General features: G+C 44.9%; 1 protein-coding gene across 29 annotated transcripts in view, besides 2 other annotated features; it reads left to right on the top strand.

The window, feature by feature from the left end:
• Positions 1–20,457, top strand: part of RBM47 (RNA binding motif protein 47) — a 207,573-nt gene that overhangs the window by 22,715 nt on the left and 164,401 nt on the right. For 3 of the 29 annotated variants that reach the window (XM_047415811.1, XM_047415801.1, XM_047415802.1), the window contains exons 2-3: positions 11,338–11,405; positions 12,232–13,880. The exons of 23 other annotated variants lie outside the window; for them this stretch is intronic. The gene's annotated coding sequence lies outside the window, so the exon portion shown is untranslated. The remainder of the gene's footprint in view (positions 1–11,337; positions 11,406–12,231; positions 13,881–20,457) is intronic. 3 more of the 29 variants (XM_047415820.1, XM_047415810.1, XM_047415800.1) reach the window with 1 other exon arrangement.
• Positions 12,197–12,698: an enhancer, noted in NCBI's record as "H3K4me1 hESC enhancer chr4:40597457-40597958 (GRCh37/hg19 assembly coordinates)". NCBI's record gives its function as "activates a minimal SCP1, AML or CMV promoter by ChIP-STARR-seq in naive H9 embryonic stem cells {active_cell/tissue: H9 hESC(naive)}" and the evidence as "EXISTENCE:reporter gene assay evidence [ECO:0000049][PMID:30033119]".
• Positions 15,667–16,167: an enhancer, noted in NCBI's record as "H3K4me1 hESC enhancer chr4:40593988-40594488 (GRCh37/hg19 assembly coordinates)". NCBI's record gives its function as "activates a minimal SCP1, AML or CMV promoter by ChIP-STARR-seq in naive H9 embryonic stem cells {active_cell/tissue: H9 hESC(naive)}" and the evidence as "EXISTENCE:reporter gene assay evidence [ECO:0000049][PMID:30033119]".

Genomic DNA, 20,457 nt, shown 5'->3' with positions numbered 1-20,457 from the left:
ACCATTTTAAATTAGAAAATTCACCTTTTTTTTTTGGAGATGGAGTTTCGCTCTGTTGCCCAGGCTGGAGTGCAGTGGTGTGATCTCAGCTCACTGCAACCTCCACCTCCCTGGTTTAAGCAATTCTGCCTCAGCCTGCTGAGTAGCTGGGTCTATAGGTGTAGGCTGCCATGCCTGGCCAATTTTTTGTATTTTAGTAGAGATGAAGTTTCACCATGTTGCCCAGGCTGGTCTTCAACTCTTGAACACAGGCAATCTTTCCGCCTCAACCTCCCAAAGTGCTAGGATTACAGGCACGAGACACCGCGCCTGGCTGAAAATTCGCCATTTTAAAGTAGAAAATGCAGTGGCTTTTAGTAATTCACAAAGTTGTGCAACCACCACCATGATCTATTCCAGAATATTTTCTTTTCTTTTTCTTATTTTACTTTGAGACATGGTCTCACTCTGTGGCCCAGGCTAGAGTGCAGTGATGTGACCGCAGCTCTCTGCAGCCCCGATCTCCCAGGCTCAAGCAATCCTCCCAATGCAGCCTCCTGAATAGCTAGAATTAGAGGCGTGTGCCACCATACCTGGATAATTTTAAAATTTTTTGTAGAGATGGAGTCCCACTGTGTTGTACAGGCTGGTCTCAAACTCCTGGGCTCAAGTGATCCTCCTGCCACAGCCTCTTAAAGTGCTGGGATTACAGGCATGAATCACCATGCTCCGCCCTATTCCAGAATATTTTCATTATCCCAGAAAGAAAGTCCAAACCTATTAAGCAATCACTTCTCATTTCTCTCTCTCCCATCCCCTGGCAACCAGTAATCAACTTTTTGACTATAGATTTGCCTGTCTGGACATCTCACATAAATAGAACCATACGATATGTGGCCTCTCATGTCTGGCTTATTTCTCTTAGCATATATGTTTTCAGGATCCATCCATGTTGTGGCATCTATCAATACTTCATTCCTTTTTATGGCTGAGTAATATAATAGTCCATTGTACGGACATACCAGATTTTGTTCATCCATTCATCAGTTGATGGATGTTTGGGTTCAGCTGGACTTTGAATAAATAGATTTTTGCACAGCGTAGAAGAGATGTTGTGATTTACGGAAGATAAAACACATCATTTTAAAGTAACACATATGTTTGCGGGCTTTTTTTCTGACAGGGTCTTGCTCAGTTGCCCAGGCTGGAGTAGAGTGACACAATAATAGTTCACTGCAGCCTCGATCTCCTGGTCTCAAGTGATCCTCCCACCTCAGCCTCTCCACGCCTGGCTAACTTATTTTTGTTTTTGTTTTTAGTAGAGAGGAGGTGTCACTGTGTTGCTCAGGCTTGTAACACATGTTCATGTTAGTACTTACATCTCAGTACTTACTGAATGCCATGCACATTTCAAGTCCTTTACAAATAGTAACTTCCTCAGTCCTCATCACAACCCTACTAGATGGCAAATGAGGCACAAAGAGGTAAAGCAATTTGCCCAGGTTGCCAGCCAGCAAGTGGAGAGCCAGAGACCAAATCCAGGCAGTGTGGCTTCAGAGTTCATCTCTCAACCACCAAGCTGTGCTGCAGAGCAGGGGCTTGGGGCCAGGCGGGCCGTCGGTGAAACTGTCCAGGTGGGGCTAAAGGGCAAAGAGGGTGCAGGAGAGAGTGATGGATGAGGCCAGAGATTGTGTGTCCTCTGCTGTCAGTAGCTGTCCATCTGGAAGACAGATCTGACCATGTCATTCACTTGTTAAAAACTGCCACTAGTCCACCGTTTTTCTTTTCTTTTTTTTCTTACCGAGACCACATTTCCCAGAAGTTCCCTGATTCTCTACAGTAGTTTCTCGGTAACAATCATTTCCCTACTACCTTTTCAATTTCCCCATATCTATATATCACCTACATCATCATTTAATATTTTTCTTTTTCTTTCTTTCTTTCTTTTTTGTTTTTTTTTTGAGATGACGTCTCACTGTGTCACCCAGGCTGGAGTGCAGTAACGTGATCTTGGCTCACTGCAACCTCTACCTCCTGGGTTTAAGAGACTCTCCTGCCTCAGCCTCCTGAGTAGCTGGGATTGCAGGCGTGCACCACCACACCCGGCTGTTTTTTTTTTTTTAAGTAGAGAAAGGCTTTCACCGTGGTGGCCAGGCTGGTCTCGAATTCCTGACCTCAAGTGATCCGCCTGCCTCAGCCTCCCAAAGTGCTGGGTAATATTTTTCTTTAAATCAACTCACTTTTGTTTTACTAAAATCCATTTACTTAAAGTGGAACACTATCTCATTTCTTAAATGGAAAACCCGTATTTTTCTTTCTTTTTTTTTAAGATGGAGTCTCGCTCCCCTTGCTCAGGCTGGAGTGCAGTGGTGCGATCTGGGCTCACTGCAACCTCCACCTCTCGGGTTCAAGTGATTCTCCTTCCTCAGCCTCCCAAGTAGCTGGGATTACAAGTGTGTGCCACCTCGCCTGGCTAATTTTTGTATTTTTAGTAGAGACGGGGTTTCACCATGTTGGCCAGGCTGGTCTCAAACTCCTAACCTCAGGTGATCTGCCCGCCTTGGCCTCTCAAAGTGCTAAGATTACAGGCGTGAGCCACCGTGCCCGGCCGAAGACCAGTATTTTTCTAATATGCATATAAATTATCCAAACCTTGAAAATGAAATGCCTCCACTCATTTGCCACCTAAAAGCAGCAGTGTGTGGTATACATATGGAGAAATCAGGGCTTACAGAATGAGGTTTGAACACTATACTAGGCCCTTCAAAACTGGGGTTCAGTCTGTGCTCCAGCCCCAGAGCTGGCTCATGCACTTTTGTAAGAGCCATGTGGCGCGCCGGGCAGAGTGGTTCACGCCTGTAATCCCAGCACTTTGGGAGGCCAAGGCGGGCAGATCACCTGAGGTCAGGAGTTGAAGACCAGCCTGGCCAATATGGTGAAACCCCGTCTCTACTAAAAATACAAAAAAATTAGCTGGGCGCGGTGGCGGGTGCCTGTAATCCCAGCTACTTGGGGGCCTGAGGCAGGAGAATTGCTTAAACCTGGGAGGCGGAGGTTGCAGTGAGCCAAGATTGCGCCATTGCACTCCCGTCGGGGCAACAAGAGCGAAACTCCTTAACAACCACGACAACAACAACAACAAAAGACCAGGTGCGGTGGCTCAAGTCTGTAATCCCAGCACTTTGGGAGGCTGAGGTGGGTGGATCACGAGGTCAGGAGTTCGAGGCCAGCCTGGCCAATATGGTGAAACCCCGTCTCTACTAAAAATACAAAAATTAGTCAGGCGTGGTGGTGTGCACTTGTAGTCCCAGCAACTCAGGAGGCTGAGGCAGGAGAATTGCTTGAACCCCGGAGGCAGAGGTTGCAGTGAGCTGAGATTGCACCACTGTACTCCAGCCTGGGCGACAGAGCGAGACTCCGTCTCAACAACAACAACAACAACAAAGAGCCATGTGGCAATCGTGAAATGTGTCTTTCTCATTCCTGGACTGGACTCATCATGCTTATTTTTTTTTATTTTTTATTTTTTAGAGAGACAAGGTCTTGCTTTGTTGTCCAGGCTGGAGTACAGTGGCACAATCACCACTCACTGCAGCCTTTAACTCCCAGGCTCAAGCAATCCTCCCTCCTCAGCCTCCCAAGTAGCTGAGACTACAGGCAGGTACCACCATGCCTGGCTAATTTTTAAAACAATTTTTTAGACATGGAGTTTTGCTATGTTGCCCAGGCTGGTTTTAAACTCCTGGCTTCAAGGGATCCTCCTGCCTTAGCCTCCCAAAGTGTTGGGATTACAGGTGTGAGCCTCCACACCCAGCCCATCATGCTTTTTCATTGCAGCATGTTGTTACTCTGTCTTTCCTCCTTTCCATCCATCCTTTGCTAGGACCAGCTCAAATAACTTCTCTTAAAGCATCTCAGATCTTCTGGATCCCTCCAGAACTTGGCTCTGCCAGGTCCTGTGTAATATTACAGACACTTGTTTAGTTTGTCCCTACCAGACTGTGAGGTGTCTCAAGGTTGGGGACATTATTTGTTGAATGGATAAATGGTTGGTTAGGGCCAAAGGGTGAAGACCTTGAATGTGATGGTAGGTGTTATGGATCGCAGCATTCCCAAAACATGTTTTGAAATGAACATGATCAGTGCTGTTTTTCACTATGCTGGGTGTGGTTGGTTGTGTGGAGACTGAATGAAGGAATGAGATCCTGGAGTCAGGGACAGGAACATAAAATCAGCACTGATTGAAATGCCTGGTGCCGGCTGGGAGTGTGGCTCACGCCTGTAATCCCAGAATTTTGGGAGGCCGAGGCAGGCAGATTACTTGAGCTCAGGAGCTCGAGACCAGCCTGGGCAACATGGTGAAACCCCGTCTCTACAAAAAATACAAAAATTAGCTGGGTGTGGTGGTGTGCTCCTGTCATCCCAGCTACTTGTGAGGCTGAGGTGGGAGTAGCACTTGAGCCTGGAGGTCGAGGCTGCAGTGAGCCAAGGTCATGCCATTGCACTCAAGCCTGGGTGACAGGATGAGACCCTATCTCAAAAAAAAGAGAGAGAGAGGGAGAGAGAGGAGAGAAGAGGAGAGGAGGGGAGGGGAAAGGAGAGGAGGGAGGAGAGGAGAAGAAGCCTAGTGCCAAAGAGGAGTCACTAAATCTAAAAATATATGTACATTATAACTCAGTGATTCCACTCCTAGGTTATATACTCAACAGAAATTTATACATATGTTCACCAAAGGAAAAGTTTAACAATGCCCTTAATAGCACCATTAAAAATATCCCCATACTGGAAGCAACTCAGATATCCATTAATAGTAGATGAATTAAAAAATTGTGGCTTATTCATTGAATGGGATACTACATAAAATGAGAACAAACAACTATTATGGTATGCAAAAATGTGCTTAAAGCCACAAACCCATGTTCAGTGAAAGAAGCTAACAGGGTGTATCCTGCAAAATCTCTTTTATATAAAGTTCAAAAACAGACAAAATGAATCTAGTGTTAGAAATCAGGAGAGCAGTCAACCTTTGGTGGGCGATGACTATATGTAGGACTTCTGGGGTGCTGACTATATAAGTACTATGTTCAGTTTGTTAAAGTTGACTGAGGAGTACTCTTCAAAAAAAATTTTTTTTTAAAGATGGGATCTGACTATATTGCTCAGGCCAGCCTTGAACTCCTGGGCTCAAGCAATCACATGCTTCAGCCTCCCAAAGTGCTGGGATTACAGGCATGGTGGACCATCACACCTGGCCTGGGGTACTCTCTTAACTTGTGAATTTTCTATTTATATATGATACTTCAGTGAAAAGTTTATATTTTAAAAAATGGGAAGAAAAGTGATTTGCAAAAATAAAAACTTTTCCTGTTTCAGGAAGAAATAAAGAGCTGACTTAATAAAAAAATAAACAGAGAAATAAACAATGAATCTAAGATTCTGAGCTGCTTCTCTCAATTGCCCATTTGGCTAGTTGTCTTGAGATTTATGATATTCCTTTTTTTTTTTTTTTTTTTAAACGGATTCTCACTCTGTCGCCAGGCTGGAGTGCAGTGGTGTGATCTCAGCTCACTGCAACCTCCGCCTCCTGAGTTCAAGTCATTTTCCTGCCTCAGCCTCCCAAGTAGCTGGGACTACAGGCGTGCGCCACCATGCCCAGCTAATTTTTGTATTTTTAGTAGAGACGGGGTTTCACCATGTTGGCCAGGATGGTCTCGATATCTTGACCTCATGATCTGCCCGCCTCGGCCTCCCAAAGTGCTGGGATTACAGGCGTGAGCGACCGCGCCCGGCCGATATTCTACGTTTTGGCTCTAAAAGTAATAACTACTAACAATTGCATTTTGTTTTATAACATTCAAACCATATGGAGTCATTCTGTTTCCTCTTTAGAACATCTCTATGAGGTTCATTAATTATTCCCAGTCTCCATAGGAGAAAAATGGAAGGTACAGTGAAGTATCTTTTTTTTTTCTTTTTCTTTTTCTCGATGGAGTCTTGCTCTGTCACCCAGGCTGGAGTGCAGTGGTGCAGTGGTACAATCTCCACTCACTGCAACCTCCACCTCCCGGGCTCAAGCGATTCTCCTGCCTCAGCCCCTGAGTAGCTGGGATTACAGGTGCCGACCACCACACTTGGCTAATTTTTCTATTTTTAGTAGAGACAGAGTTTCACCATGTTGGCCAGGCTGGTTTCAAACTCCTAACCTCAAGCTCTCCACCCACATTGGCCTCCCAAAGTGCTGGGGTTACAGGCGTGAGCCACCACGCCCGACCCAGAGAGATTTCTTAATTTCCCCTAAATTGAAGGGCTAGTAAGTGGCTGAACTGAAACAATTTCCTTTAAGGCCTGTTCTTTTCACCACAACTTGGGGCCACCTGGGGTTGGCAGTTGGACTCGTAGTTTCCAGGAACAGAGAGCAGAGGAAGGAGGCCAGTGCGGGAAGAGTGGCAAACAGTATACATGATAAATCCACAATGGAAGCCTTGTAACTAATTACGTCAAGCCAACAAACAAGCAAGCGAAGCTTTTTTGGCATGCCAGTTTAAATCCATTGTTCTTTTGCTGCTTTTCTGCTTAAATAATTAAGGCTCTTAAGTACAAATTAACCTCAAGCTAACAAAAAGAGAATGCCATTGACTTGATTGAGATGTCATTGAAATCTTTTCCGTTGCGTTCAGGTAGTTTTCTGCACACATGAACTTTCCATGAGTGGTCATGGAATGATCCAGCATGTTTTTATCTGGACAGGGCCAGCGGGGCTTTCTGGTTTGACACACCATCCAATGTAGAAATGCCTCTCCAACATTAGCGATAGTCATGATCTGACAAGCATGTGCACCAAGAACTTCCCTTGGGCCAGGCACTCATTTATAGTTCTCTGAGATTGCTGTTACCAGTGTCTCTATTTTACAGTTGAGCAAGTAGACTCAGAAAGGCTAAGCAACTTGCCCTAAAACACACAGCTAATTATAGCAAAGCAGATCCAGATTCAGGTCTTCCTGATTTGGTATTTGGAGGGTTCAGTTGCTATGCTTCTTCATTGCTTCCGTCCTGGCCTTGAATTCTTACGGTGATGGTTACATCATCATTTCCGTGAGGCACTTGAGGCTGTGACTGGAAAGGCTTACTAGGAAGATCTTTTTTATGTTCTTCTTTCTTTTTTTTTTTTTTTTTGAGACGGAGTTTCACTCTTGTTGCCTAGGCTAGAGTGCAGTGGCGCGATCTTGGCTTACCGCAAACTCCGCCTCCCGGGTTCAAGCGATTCTCCTCCCTCAGCCTCCTGAGTAGCTGAGATTACAGGTGCCTGGCACCACGCCTGGCTAATTTTGTATTTTCAGTAGAGACGGGTTTCTCCATGTTGGTCAGGCTGGTCTTGAACTCCCGACCTCAGGTGATCAGCCCGCCTTGGCCTCCCAAAGTGCTGGGATTACAGGCGTGAGCATGAGCCACTGCGTCCGGCCTTGAAATCTTCTTTCTTGTAACTTTCATCTATAAAGCCTACTTCTGCTTGCTTTTCTTTTTTTTTGAGACGGAGCCTCGCTCTGTCGCCCAGGCTGGAGTGCAGTGGAGCGATCTCCGCTCACTGCAAGCTCCGCCTCCCGGGTTCACGCCATTCTCCTGCCTCAGCCTCCCGAGTAGCTGGGACTACAGGCGCCCGCCACCACACCCGGCTAATTTTTTGTATTTTTAGTAGAGACGGGGTTTCACCACGTTAGCCAGCATGGTCTCAATCTCCTGACCTCGTGATCCGCCCGCCTTGGCCTCCCAAAGTGCTGGGATTACAGGCTTGAGCCACCGCGCCCGGCCTCTGCTTTCAAGAATAGTATCAATTAAGATCCCTTCTTTAGGCCAGTTGTGGTGGCTTATACCTGTAACGCCAACACTTTTGGAGGCAGAGACAGGAGGATTGTTTGAGACCACACATTCCAGACCAGCCTGGTCACCACAGCAACACCCTGTCTCTACAAAAAAAAAAAAATTCATAAAAAAATTAGCCAGGTATTATGGCTGTAGTCCCAGCTGCTCAGGAGGCTGAGGTGGGAGGATCACTTTGAGCCCAGGAGGTCAAGGCCGCAGTGAGCTATGATGGCGCCAGTGGACTCCAGCCTGGGCAACAGAGTGAGGCCTTGTCTCAGGAAAAGAAAAAAAAAATTCCTCCTTTGGCGTGGGAAAGGCACTCATCCAAAAATTTAAAGTGTAGGGGTATATTAGTGTGTAGTTTCTAGAATGATGCCAAGGGCTCAGTTATCTCTTGATGTACAACAAACCACCCTATATTCACTGAGTGCCTACTATCTCATGATTTGGACCAGATTTGGGCAGAGCTTAGCTGGGAGATTCTGCTACATGTGCATTACCTGGGGTTAGTTGGTAGTATTCAACTTGTGGCTAGTCTGGCTTGAGGATTTTTTTTTTTTTTCTAATTCATTTCTGTATTCTCATCTGAAGGCTTGATGATTTAAGATGGCTTTGCTCACATGCCTGACACCTTGGCAGGAACGTTTCAGGGCCTCTCCATAAGGCCTCTCCTGCTGGGTGGTTGGACTTCTTACATTTCAAAGTGTCCCAAGCGTGAGTGTCCCAAGAGATAGGACAGCAAAGCTACCAGGCCTGGGTTTGGAAGCTGGAAGAGTGTCACTTCTGGGTTGAAGCAGGCACAGAGCCCACTCAGGTTCAAGTGGAGAAAGAGTGGATCCCACTTCTCAATGAGAGGAGTGTCAGAGAGTTTACAGACATTTTAAATCTGCCACACTAAGGATCAACCTAAATGGGTTTCCATTTTCCTGGGTTGGGGGTGGTAAGTGTAAGTACCTATTTGGATTTGAAAATCCTGCTGAACTTATTTTCTCTATTTTGTGGCATTTGAACTTTAGGGACTTCTCTTTCTTTTTTTTTTTTTTTGAGACGGAGTCTTGTTCTATCGCCCAGGCTGGAGTCCAGTGGTGTGATCTCGGCCCACTGCAACCTCCGCCTCCTGGGTTCAAGCCATTCTCTTGCCTCAACCTCCTATGTAGCTGGGATTACAGGGGTGTGCCACCACACCTAGCTAATTTTGTATTTGCTTTTAGTAGAGTTGGGGCTTCATCATGTTGGCCGGGCTGGTCTTGAACTCCTGACCTCAAGTGATCTGCCCACCTTGGCCTCCTCAAGTGCTGGGATTACAGGTATGAGCCACTATGCCTGGCCAGGGACTTCTCTTTCTAATAATTATAGAATAATGTTTACCAGTACTAATTATTTATTGAAGTCAAGGATGATGAATAAATTACGACAGATTCCTCCTCCCCAACTCTTTTTTTTTTTTTTTTTTGGTTTTACAAGAATAAAAGACTTTCTGATAATTCATTTATGGCTTAAACACATATGAGCAGAGGACAGATGGACACTATAGAATATAGAATGTAGAAACCCTAAATCAAAGGATTTTTTAAAAATAGCTTAATTTGTACTCTTACTATATTACATCATTTTCAGACTTTCATTCCTGCAAAGCATTTGCGATGTTTTTATTCTTTAAAGCAGCATTTTATTTTTAAAAATTCACCTATTTATTTATTTGTCTCTTCTTTTTTTTTGAGACAAAGCATCATTTTAAAGTTCTATGATTGGGGCCGGGCGCAGTGGCTCATGCCTGTAATCCCAGCACTTTGGGAGCCTGAGGTGGGCAGATTGCTTAAGCTCAGGAAAGTTTGAGACCAGCCTGGGCAACATGGCAAAACCCTCTCTCTACAAAACAATACAAAGACTAGCTGGGCATGGTGGTGTGCACCTGTGGTCCCAGCTACTCAGGAGGCTGTGGTGGGAGGATGGCTTGAGCCTGGTAGGTGGAGGTTGCAGTGAGCTGAGATCACACAACTGCACTTCAGCCTGGGTGACAGACTGAGACCCCATCTCAAAATAAATAAATAAATAAATAAAGTTCTGTGATTGGGGTCAATGGTAAATCTCCTGTGTGCGCACTTTATTTCCCATTAGACATTGCGGCAAAATTCAGTGGTCAGTCCTCTGTATATTAGTAGAAGGAGTTAATTGAAATTGTTTCTAATCTTTTGATCCTTGTCACACTACTCTGCTATGCAATAATACACTAAAGAATTTTCAGAAAGTGAATGTTGGAGACTTAATATAGCTCCCTGCCTTAAAAAGATTCCGTTTTGTGGAGTTAGGCTAGCAGTTGGTATGCTAAATTGACCAAAAGATCTTGTTTTAGAAAACAGAAAATGCTTTAATGCAGAAATGAAATCAAGAGACTTAAGATTAGAGAGGTGAATACATTTTTGCCAGTGTCTGCTCCTTCTGGCTAGATGCTCAGGAAAATTTTTCATGGTGATTCAAAAACTGAAATAAGAGCCTTTTCATGGGCAGGTGCTATTGTTTGTTTGCTTATTTATTTAATGCCTTTTACTAACATAATCATTTCTGCAAAAAAATGGTAATGAACTTGGGCACATTTATGTGCATTGTTTTGTTTTATTTAAAATTTCCAGTTTATCAAATTATTTCAAAAAGTATTCATTTAAATGAATACATATTTAATACCTATATGAATATATAAATATTTATTCATTTATTTATTTGAGATGGAGTCTTTCTCTGTCACCCAGGCTGGAGTGCAGTGGCGTGATCTCGCCTCACTGCAACCTCCGCCTCCTGGGTTCAAGCCATTCTCCTGCCTCAGCCTCCAGAGTAGCTGGGATTACAGGCCTGGCTAATTTTTGTATTTTTAGTAGAGACGGGGTTTTGCCATGTTGGCCAGGCTGGTCTCACACTCCTGATCTCAAGTGATCCGCTCCCCTCAGCCTCCCAAAGTGTTGGGATTACAGGTGTGAGCCACTGCCCTCAGCCTATAAATATTTATTTATTGAAGTATTTTGATAAACTAAAACTATTTTTTTTTTTGAGATGGAATCTCGCTCTGTCACCCAGGCTGGAGTGCAGTGGCACGATCTCGGCTCACTGCAACCTCCGCCTCCTGGGTTCAAGTGATTCTCCTGCCTCAGTCTCCCAAGTAGCCGGGACTACAGGCGCGTGCCACCACGGCCAGCTAATTTTTTGTGTTTTTAGTAGAGATAGGGTTTCACCATGTTAGCCAGGATGGTGTCAATCTCCTGACCTCATGATCTGCCTGCCTCGGCCTCCTAAAGTGCTGGGATTACAGGCGTGAGCCATCGCGCCCGGCCGATAAATTAAAACTTTAAATACTTAAATACTTAATATTTAAAAATTTGTTTTATTTCTGACCTACTGAAAGGTACAACAAACACCTCTGTATCTGGGACCAACATGAGGAATAAACCACTGGAGAGATAACTGAAGCCCCTCGTGCCCCTCAACTTGATTCTCTCTCTCTCTTCTCAGGGGTGGCCACTCCCCTGAATGCAGTGATTATCCTTCCCAAGGACGTCCTTTTTCCTGTGCTACATATGGTGTGTACTCATACACAAGGCGTGGGGCTTTGCATTCTTGATGGTTAGGGAGGAAGATTAAAAGAAGATTAATCTTTTGGGCCACTTGGGACATTAGATGAAAGTCAAATTTCATTGTCCATAAATACAATGTTATTGGAACACAGTGTAAAGACCTATTTATGACTGTTTTGCTCAACATGGCGGATTTGAGTAGTAGCCACTCAAACTGTATGGCTCAAAAAGCCTAAAATTTTTCCCGTCTGACCCTTTACAAAATGGTTGCTAACCTCTTGTGTAGCATAGGCACACACACTACACTGAGTAAATAATCTGGCTACAGAAAGAGCAATATATAGGTACATGTGCCTGCACCAGGAAGTGAATAAAAGACCTCTTCCCCCCCTTAAACCTAAGAATTCTCCTGTCTTTTTCTCTTGCCTCAGGAGATCAGGAATGATCCACCTTTCTCCTCCCACCTCTATCCACGGAATGATGTTATCTTATTCCTCTGCTTTAAGCTTCTTTCCTCTTGCTCTTCCTTTTCCCACCTCATGTCGACAAAACCAGCAAATTCCATTTGTCCTGTGACAGAAAGAACAGCTCCAAGGATAGTCACGTCCCTGCTCCTGAAAGTTCTCATCTTAGCAGCATGCTTTGCCCATGTCTCTGATTAGGCACATTGCATTCCCTTGCAGCTTTCCTTGTCTTCTGTGGCTTAGAATGCTAGCTTATCAAACACTGACTGCGTGCAGAGAGGCTGCGTCCACACTGGCTGCAGATAGATACATGAAGACCAGCAAAAAGTAATTGAGCAAATAACATCTCTTTTTTTTTTTTTTGGCAGGGGGGACGAAGTTTCACTCTGTTGCCCAGCCTGGAGAACAGTGATGAGATCTCAGCTCACTGCAAGCTCTGCCTCCCGGGTTCAAGCAATTCTCCTGCCTCAGCCTCCCAAGTAGCTGGGATTATAGGCACACGCCACCATGCCTGGCTAATTTTTGTATTTTTAGAAGAGACTAAATATACAAAGGTTTAGGGTTTCGCCATGTTGGCCAGGCTGGTCTTGAACTTCTGACCTCAAGTGATCCTCCTTTCTCAGCCTCCCAAAGTGCTAGGATTACAGGCATGAGCCACAGCACCCGGCCTGATCTTTTAAACATAAATGATAAAGAATTGATAGGGTGATTTCCATTTCTTTTGCAAAAACAAATCATAACTTTTCCCTGTTTCTTTTCTTTTCTATCCTTTTCTCTTTTTTTGAGATAGTCTTGCTCTGTCGCCCAGGCTGGAATGCAGTGGTGCAATCTCGGCTCACTGCAACCTCCACCTCCCGGGTTCAAGCAGTTGTCTTGCCTCAGCCTCCCGAGTAGCTGGAATTACAGGCACCTGCCACCAAGCCTGGCTAATTTTTGTATTTTTGGTAGAGATGGGTTTCACCTTGTTGGTCAGGCTGGTCTCGAACTCATGACCTCAAGTGATCTGCTGCCTCAGCCTCCCAAAGTGCTGGGAATACAGGCATGAGCCACCATGCCCAGCCCTTCCTTGTTTCTTTAATGATGGCTATTCCCCCTTCCCAGGCCAGAATTATGGAGATAATTGTCTCAACTGATTATTTCCTCCTCCAAGAAAAGCTGAAGAATGCATAGTGTTAAGCACACGGGGTGCTTGATAGCATAGTGGTAAGGTTCAAGAGCTTTGAAGCCAAGCAGTCCATCTGTTAGCTACGAGACCTTGGAGCTCTCTTAGCAAAGAAGAGAGGAATGTCTATTGCGTGGCAATCTGTGGTGCCTGCCAAAAAAGATAGAATACAAAGATTAATCATACAGTAATACTCAGTCTTCAACCTCGAGGTGCTCTTAAAGGAGCCCATGAAATAAAATAATAAACCATAGAAAATGATAAGTACTACTAGGTAAAAAATCAAGGTAGAGAGTGATAGTACTTACAAAAGAGATACAGAAAGAAATTGGAGTGGAAAGGAGGGAGACAGTCAGGAGGGCTTCTTGAAGGAGGTGGCCGGGAGAAACAAGGATTTGGGTCCATGGAATTCAGAGCAAGAATATTCTGGGCTATGAGGATAGCATGAGCAAAGGCATTGAGACTGATATATCAGGTTGCATATAGGGAACAGAGACAAGAGAGTGGCTCGGTTTGACCACGAATGAAGTGAAATAGAGGGAGAGAAGAGAATATAGGGTTGAGGTCCGGTTAGGCGAGGCCTTGAATGTCATGCAGAGGAGTAGCTTTGACAGTTTATATGCTCCTCCCCAGTAAGACGTGTAGCCGTATAATGAGAGCTTTCGAGACCAAGCTGTGTCGTCAATTCTGGAAGACTGTCGTACCAGAAGGCCTTGACTTTTCCTATCTTGGTCCAATGTCACTCCTTGCAGATTTGCTATCTCAGTACAAAAGATGTGAAAGACACTGGAACATGCTGTTTTACAAAACATCTCAGAAAGAGCCAGTCTGAGAAGCAGTGTGCAATGGCCTCAGGTGTGTACCCTCAAATTAAGAGAAATATTCCTGACCATAGCAGAATATGCTTTCTGTTGTCTTTCTTATTCCTATACAGTGCTGGTGGAGGAAACAGGGCAGCGTGGAGATTTTCATATTTGAAGTGGGTGGAAGCGGGGGTGGGGGTAGAGAAGAGAAAAATGATTTTCTTTTCTTTCTTTCTTTCTTTTTTTTGTTTGTTTTTTGAGATGGGGTCTTGCTCTGTTTCCCAGGCTGGAGTGCAATGGCGCAATCTCAGCTCACTGCAACCTCTGCCTCCTGGGTTCAATCGATTCTCCTGCCTCTCAGCCTCCTGAGTAGCTGGGATTACAGGCACCCACCACCACGTCCGGCTAATTTTTTTTTTTTTTTTTGAGACAGAGTCTCGCTTGGTCACCCAGGCTGGAGTGTAGTGGCGCGATCTCGGCTCACTGCAAGCTCTGCCTCCCAGGTTCGCGCCATTCTCCTGCCTCAGCCTCCCGAGTAGCTGGGACTACAGGTGCCCGCCACCACGCCCAGCTAATTTTGTTTTTGTATTTTTAGTAGAGACGGGGTTTCACCGTGTTAGCCAGGATGGTCTCGATCTCCTGACCTCGTGATCCACCCGCCTCAGCCTCCCAAAGTGCTGGGATTACAGGCGTGAGCCACCGTGCCCAGCTGTGTCCAGCTAATTTTTGTATTTTTAGTAGAGATGGGCTTTCACCATGTTGGTCAGGCTGGTCTTTAACTTCCGACCTCAGGTGATCCACCTGCCTCGGCCTCCCGAGAAAAATGATTTTCTAAGCGATTCCCTTGGCAGGGATGTACAGGTGTATCAGTGTTTCAGGTATTTCTAAAGCGATCTTCCAGGGGCCTCCCTACTGAAGGTATTATTCAGTGCTTTCATTGTTAAATACTGAAGGTATTATTCAGTGCTTTCATTTTATAAAAACATTAAAAAATTATTTAATGTTTTTATAAAAATGTATGTCCCGGCTCACGCCTGTAATCCCAGCACTTTGGGAGGCCAAGGTGGGCGGATCACGAGGTCAGGAGATCGAGACCCTTCTGGCTAACACGGTGAAACCCCGTCTCTACTAAAAATACAAAAAAAAAATTAGCCTGGCGTGGTCGCGGGCGCCTGTAGTCCCAGCTACTCGGGAGGCTGAGGCAGGAGAATGGCGTGAACCTGGGAGGCGGACTTGCAGTGAGCCAAAATCGCGCCACCGGACTCCAGCCTGGGCGACAGAGCCAGACTCCGTCTCAAAAAAAAAAAAAAAAAAAAAAAAAAAAAAAAAATATATATATATATATATATATATATATATATATATATATATATGTCCCAAATTGTTTGCATTGATTCTAAATTGGATGAGGACGTTAGTAAACCTAACTAAGGTTCAGATGCCATTTCAGTTTCACAAGAAGAAATAAGGGGTCGAGTGCTGTGGCTCACTGGGAGGCCAAGGCAGGCAGATTGCCTGAGCTCAGGAGTTTGAGACCAGCCTGAATAACATAGCGAGGCCCTGTCTCTACAAAAAATACAAAAGTTGGCCAGGCGCGGTGGCTCATGCCTGTAATCCCAGCACTTTGGGAGGCTGAGGTGGGCGGATCACCTGAGGTTGGGAGTTCGAGACCAGCCTGGCCAACATAGAGAAACCCCGTCTCTACTAAAAATACAAAATTCGGCGTGCATGGTGTCGCATGCCTGTAATCCTAGCTACATGGGAGGCTGGGGCAGAAGAATTGCTTGAACCCAGGAGGCGGAGGTTGCGGTGAGCTGAGATCATGCCATTGCACTCCAGCCTGGGCAACAAGAGCGAAACTCTGTCTTAAAAAAAAAAAAAAAGAAAAAAAAAAGATTAAGCCAGGTGGATGCCTGTGGTCCTAGCTATTAGGGAGGCTGAGGTGGGACGACTGCTGAGTCCAGGAATTTGAGGCTGCAGTGAGCTGTGATTGCACCACTGCACTCTAGCCTGAGCGACCCAGTAAGACCTGCCTCAAAAAAAAAAAAAAAAGTAAAAGAAAAAGTAAATGTGATACCAGGTGGTGTAAATAAGAGGAAAATAAGTTAATAATTGCAAACGGATGATTCCCCTGTACTCTACTTTGATGCTAGTTTTTGCAGAGTCACAGGTCAAAGATTCTGCATTTGAAATCTGAATGGGAAATGGTGGACTTCTGGAAATGGAGAGACTCCTATTATAAATGAGCATAGCATTGTTTTATTTATGAACAAGCATTTTTCCTGAGGGGTAAAGCATTGTTTTGGGAAGTGATGCTCTCTCAGATTACCATGGTGAAGCTCTCCTAGGCATCCAAAATATATATTAACTTTGAGAGGTTCCATTTTCACATAAATTTACCTCCCACCAAATTCTTGCCAGTTCCTGAGCATTACGTGCTCTTTCTGCCATATGTCTTCACTTGTACGTGTCCTGTGCCCTCTCTAAAAGGCTAGAGAACTCCACTCCAGTGTTGACGCTCTGGAGAGCCCTTGTCTCAGGTAGAACCTATTACTCATTAGGGTAACTGTGAAATTCTCCCCACATATCTTCTTTTCTTCTTTTCTTTTTCCTTTTGAGATGAAGTCTTGCTCTGTTGCCCAGGCTGGAGTGCAATGGTGTGATCTCAGCTCACTGCAACCTCTGCCTCCTGGGTTCAAGCAATTCTCCTGCCCCAGCCTCCCGAGTAGCTGGGATTGCAAGGTCATGCCACCACGCCCAGCTAATTTTGTATTTTTAGTTGAGATGGGGTTTCACCATGTTGGCCAGGCTGGTCTTAAGGCTGGTCTTAAACTCCTGACCTCAAGTAACCCTCCCACTTTGGCCTCTCAAAGTGCTGGGATTACAGGTGTGAGCCACCACGCTTGGTCACATATCTGATTTTCTTATCCCAGATGTTGTTGCCTTTTTTTAGACCAAAATTTACATAATGTAAAGTTAACTATTTTAAAGTATACAATTCTGTGGCATTTAGTAGATTGACAATATGGTATAACCATCACCTCTACCTACTTCCAACACATTTTCATCACCCCCCAAGGAGACCCTTGTCCCCATTTAAGAAGTTACTCCTCATCCCACCTTCCCCCAGCCCCTGGCAACCACTGATGTGCTTTCTGTCTCTGTGGATTTACCTATTCTAGATTTTTCATATAAATGGAACCATGCAGCAGGGTGTGGTGGCTCATACCTGTAATCCTAGCACTTTGGGAGGCCGAGGCAGGTGGATCACCTGAGGTCAGGAGTTCGAGACCAGCCTGGCCAACACGGGGAAACCCCGACTCTACTAAAAATACAAAAATTAGCCAGGCATGGTGGTGGGTGCCTGTGGTCCCAGCTGCTCAGGAGGCTGAGGGAGGAGAATCACTTGAACCTGGGAGGCGGAGATTGCAGCGAGCCAAGATCGCACCACTGCACTCCAGCGTGGGTGACAGTGCGAGACTCCATCTCAAAAGAAAAGGCATCATGTAATATATGGACTTTTGTGTCTGGCTTCTTTCACTTAACATGATATGCTCACAGTCCATCCATGTTATGGCATGTCCAGCACTTCATTTCTTTAAGACTGAATAATATTCTGTTGTAATGGACAATATCACATTTTGTATATTCATTCACCTGTTGATGGATATTGGGTTGTTCCGCCCTTTGGGCTGTTGCTTTTTAAGATAACCACAACAAAGCTAAAAGCTGATCTCTTATTCACAATGTCATTCACCAGGTGAGGCAATGTGTCTAAGGCTTGGAGACTGGGGTCCAAGATGAGAGGTTGCAAATAGAGAGTTTACAGGTAATAGGAGGCCCCCAAGATGTTTGCTTGCTCTTCTGTGCACTGTTGTCTTGCCCAGTCTTTGTGGGGTTTTTTTGTTTTTTTTTTAAAAAGAGACAGAGTCTGTTGCCCAGGCTGGAGTACAGTGGCATGATCATGGCCTGCCGTCACCTCAAATTTCTGGGCTCAAGCAATCCTCCTGTGTCATCCTCTGGAGTCGCTGGGATTATAGGTGTGAGCCACCATGCCCAGCTCCGATCTTTAAAAAGTGAATCAGTTGACAATGTTTAAAATTTAAGATGTTACACAGGCACACAGGCGTGCACACGTCTAGATTTCCATCTTGTTACAAAAAAACTTTCTCAGTACCTGGCCTATTCCCCGATCTGGCAACTCTCAGCTAGAATGGAGTGTGGGCTTCTGTCCCTAATGTTTGGGGAAAGGCTTCTCAATTCATCATAGCCCCCAAACCTTGATGAGCCTGAAGGTCAGGAAACATTTGAGCTGCTGTTTTTTTTTTCTAATAGGCGTTAAGGGGAAAGTGAAAGATTGTTGGGCTCAGGATTCTATCAAAAGTAGAAAAGAAGAAATGAAAGCCGCCGCCTGTCTCATTGCCTTTGTTGCCCCTCCAGGTACTTATGATTAGTGTTCTTGATCAGTGTCTTATGTGCTCCTCATGTTCCTAAATGCCAGAATTAAAAACAGCTTTATTAAGATATTATTCATATGTTGTACAATTCACCCTTTTAAATTGTACAGTTCAGACTGGGCGCGGTGGCTTACGCCTGCAATCCCAGCACTTCGGGAGGCCGAGGCGGGTGGATCACTTGAGGCCAGGAGTTCGAGACCAGCCTAGCCAACATGGTGAAACCCCGTCTCTACTAAAAATACAAAAAAATTATCCAGGCATGGTGGTGTGTGCTCGTAATCCCAGCTACTTGGGAGGCTGAGGCAGGAGAATGGCTTGAACCCAGGAGGTGGAGGTTGCAGTGAGCTGAGATTGTGCCACTGCACTCCAGCATGGAAAGCAGGCTCTGGGAGACAGAGCGAGACTCCATCTCAAAAAAATAAAAAATAAGTAAATAAATAAATAAATAAAAACTACATTGTACAGTTCAATGGATGCTAGTATATTCACAGGCATGTGCAACCCTCACACAGTTTGGGAACATTTCAACAATCATTTTACACAGTAAGTTTAGAACATCTTAATCACTTCAAAAAGAAACCTTTGGGCCGGGTGCTGTGGCTCACGCCTATAATCCCAGGACTTTGGGAGGCTAAGGCAGGTGGATCACTTGAGGTCAGGAGTTCGAGACCAGCCTGGCCAACATGGTGAAACCCCATCTCTACTAAAAAAATTAGCTGAGCATGGTGGTGTGTGCCTGTAATCCCAGCTACTTGGGAGCCTGAGGTGGGAGAATCACTTGAACCCGGGAGGTGGAGGTTGCAGTGAGCCGAGATCACGCCACTGCACTGTCTCAAAAAAAAAAAAAAAAAAAAAAAAAAGAAACGCTTTAGCTATTATTCCTCTAACCTCTTTCCCCTAAAACTAAAACTTAAGCAATTTCTAATCAAATCCCAGAGTTTTTGATGGCACACAAAAAGGGACTGAAAGAGAACATAACAGCAAACACGTCGGCCACGATTCCAGTGCCCCTGTTGCTGAACTATGCCAATGTCTCTCCTTGTTGCTCCTGCTTATTAACTAATGATGCAGTCTCCTCCCTTGGGCCAGTAAATTCAGGATCTCTTTTTGGAGTCTTCATTCTAAGAAAGTAATTTATACTTGTAATGGCTCATTACTACACCCCAAGACTAACCAGGCAGCTATCTCCAACGGGCATCTGAGAAGATGGAGATGGATGTAGCTAAAATAAATGTGTGTGCTGGATCGAAGTCTAGCTACCACCATACCTTCTAGGCTCTCATCCCTGTCAGTGACCTGCTGTGTGAATTTCAGAAATCAAATCTTTTATGCTGTCCATAATTTCGTGTTTTCAAGAGAGTAACATAGCTTGCTCCCTGACCCTAACACTTCTTCCTATGATGGTCCTCCTTTGAGGAAAGGTTCAGTTTGAATTAGACATGTGTAAGGACCTTCTAGGTCCTTGTCATTATTTTCTTTGAGTGTTCAATTTTGGGACTTTGAATCCTGAAAGGGAAACTGGCCCAGGAGTGATTACCTTGGTTGAGGAGCGTTGCATTTTAAATGATAGAGCCCTGGGAAGCTGGAATGTTCCCCCCAAAGCCTGCTGGACTCACCCTGTAGGCAGCCCTGACTTTCTTGTTGGTCTAAGGTTACTATATTTAGCAAATGAAAATTATTGGTTGCTTATCTGATATTCAGATTTACTGCGTATCCTTTATTTTATGTGGCAACTGTCTTTGGCTGCACCCCAGTACACCTCGTGGCTTTGTGTTTGCTGTGTGCCACTGGTCCTCTGAATTGCAGGGCCCCATGAACTGGCCAGGCAAAAAAGAGATTCTATCATGTTGCTGACAAAAAGAAGAAATGTAGGCTGCAATATTACCCATGGTGTTGTCTAGCCGAGGGCAGCCTGAGGCCCCATTTCAGGGCTGGCTTAGTCACCCTTGCCTTGAGCAACTCACTATAATTCCTTGGAACTGCAATTTTGTCCTTTTTCCTCCTCTGAAATGAAAACAGTCAAAATACCAGTAACCAGCATGTCAGCATTACTATTTACTTGTCTCATTTTATTAGCAATCCTATTTACCGTGGCATCACCTCTCCAACTCAGGTAATTCTTACCTTTGAGGGGTGTTATGACGCCCATTATCTAGATAGAGAAACCAAGGC

Source organism: Homo sapiens, chromosome 4, assembly GCF_000001405.40.
Source record: "Homo sapiens chromosome 4, GRCh38.p14 Primary Assembly".
NCBI lineage: Eukaryota > Metazoa > Chordata > Mammalia > Primates > Hominidae > Homo > Homo sapiens.
The sequence above is the reverse complement of the archived record's forward strand: the minus strand, read 5'-3'. Positions and strand labels throughout refer to the sequence as shown.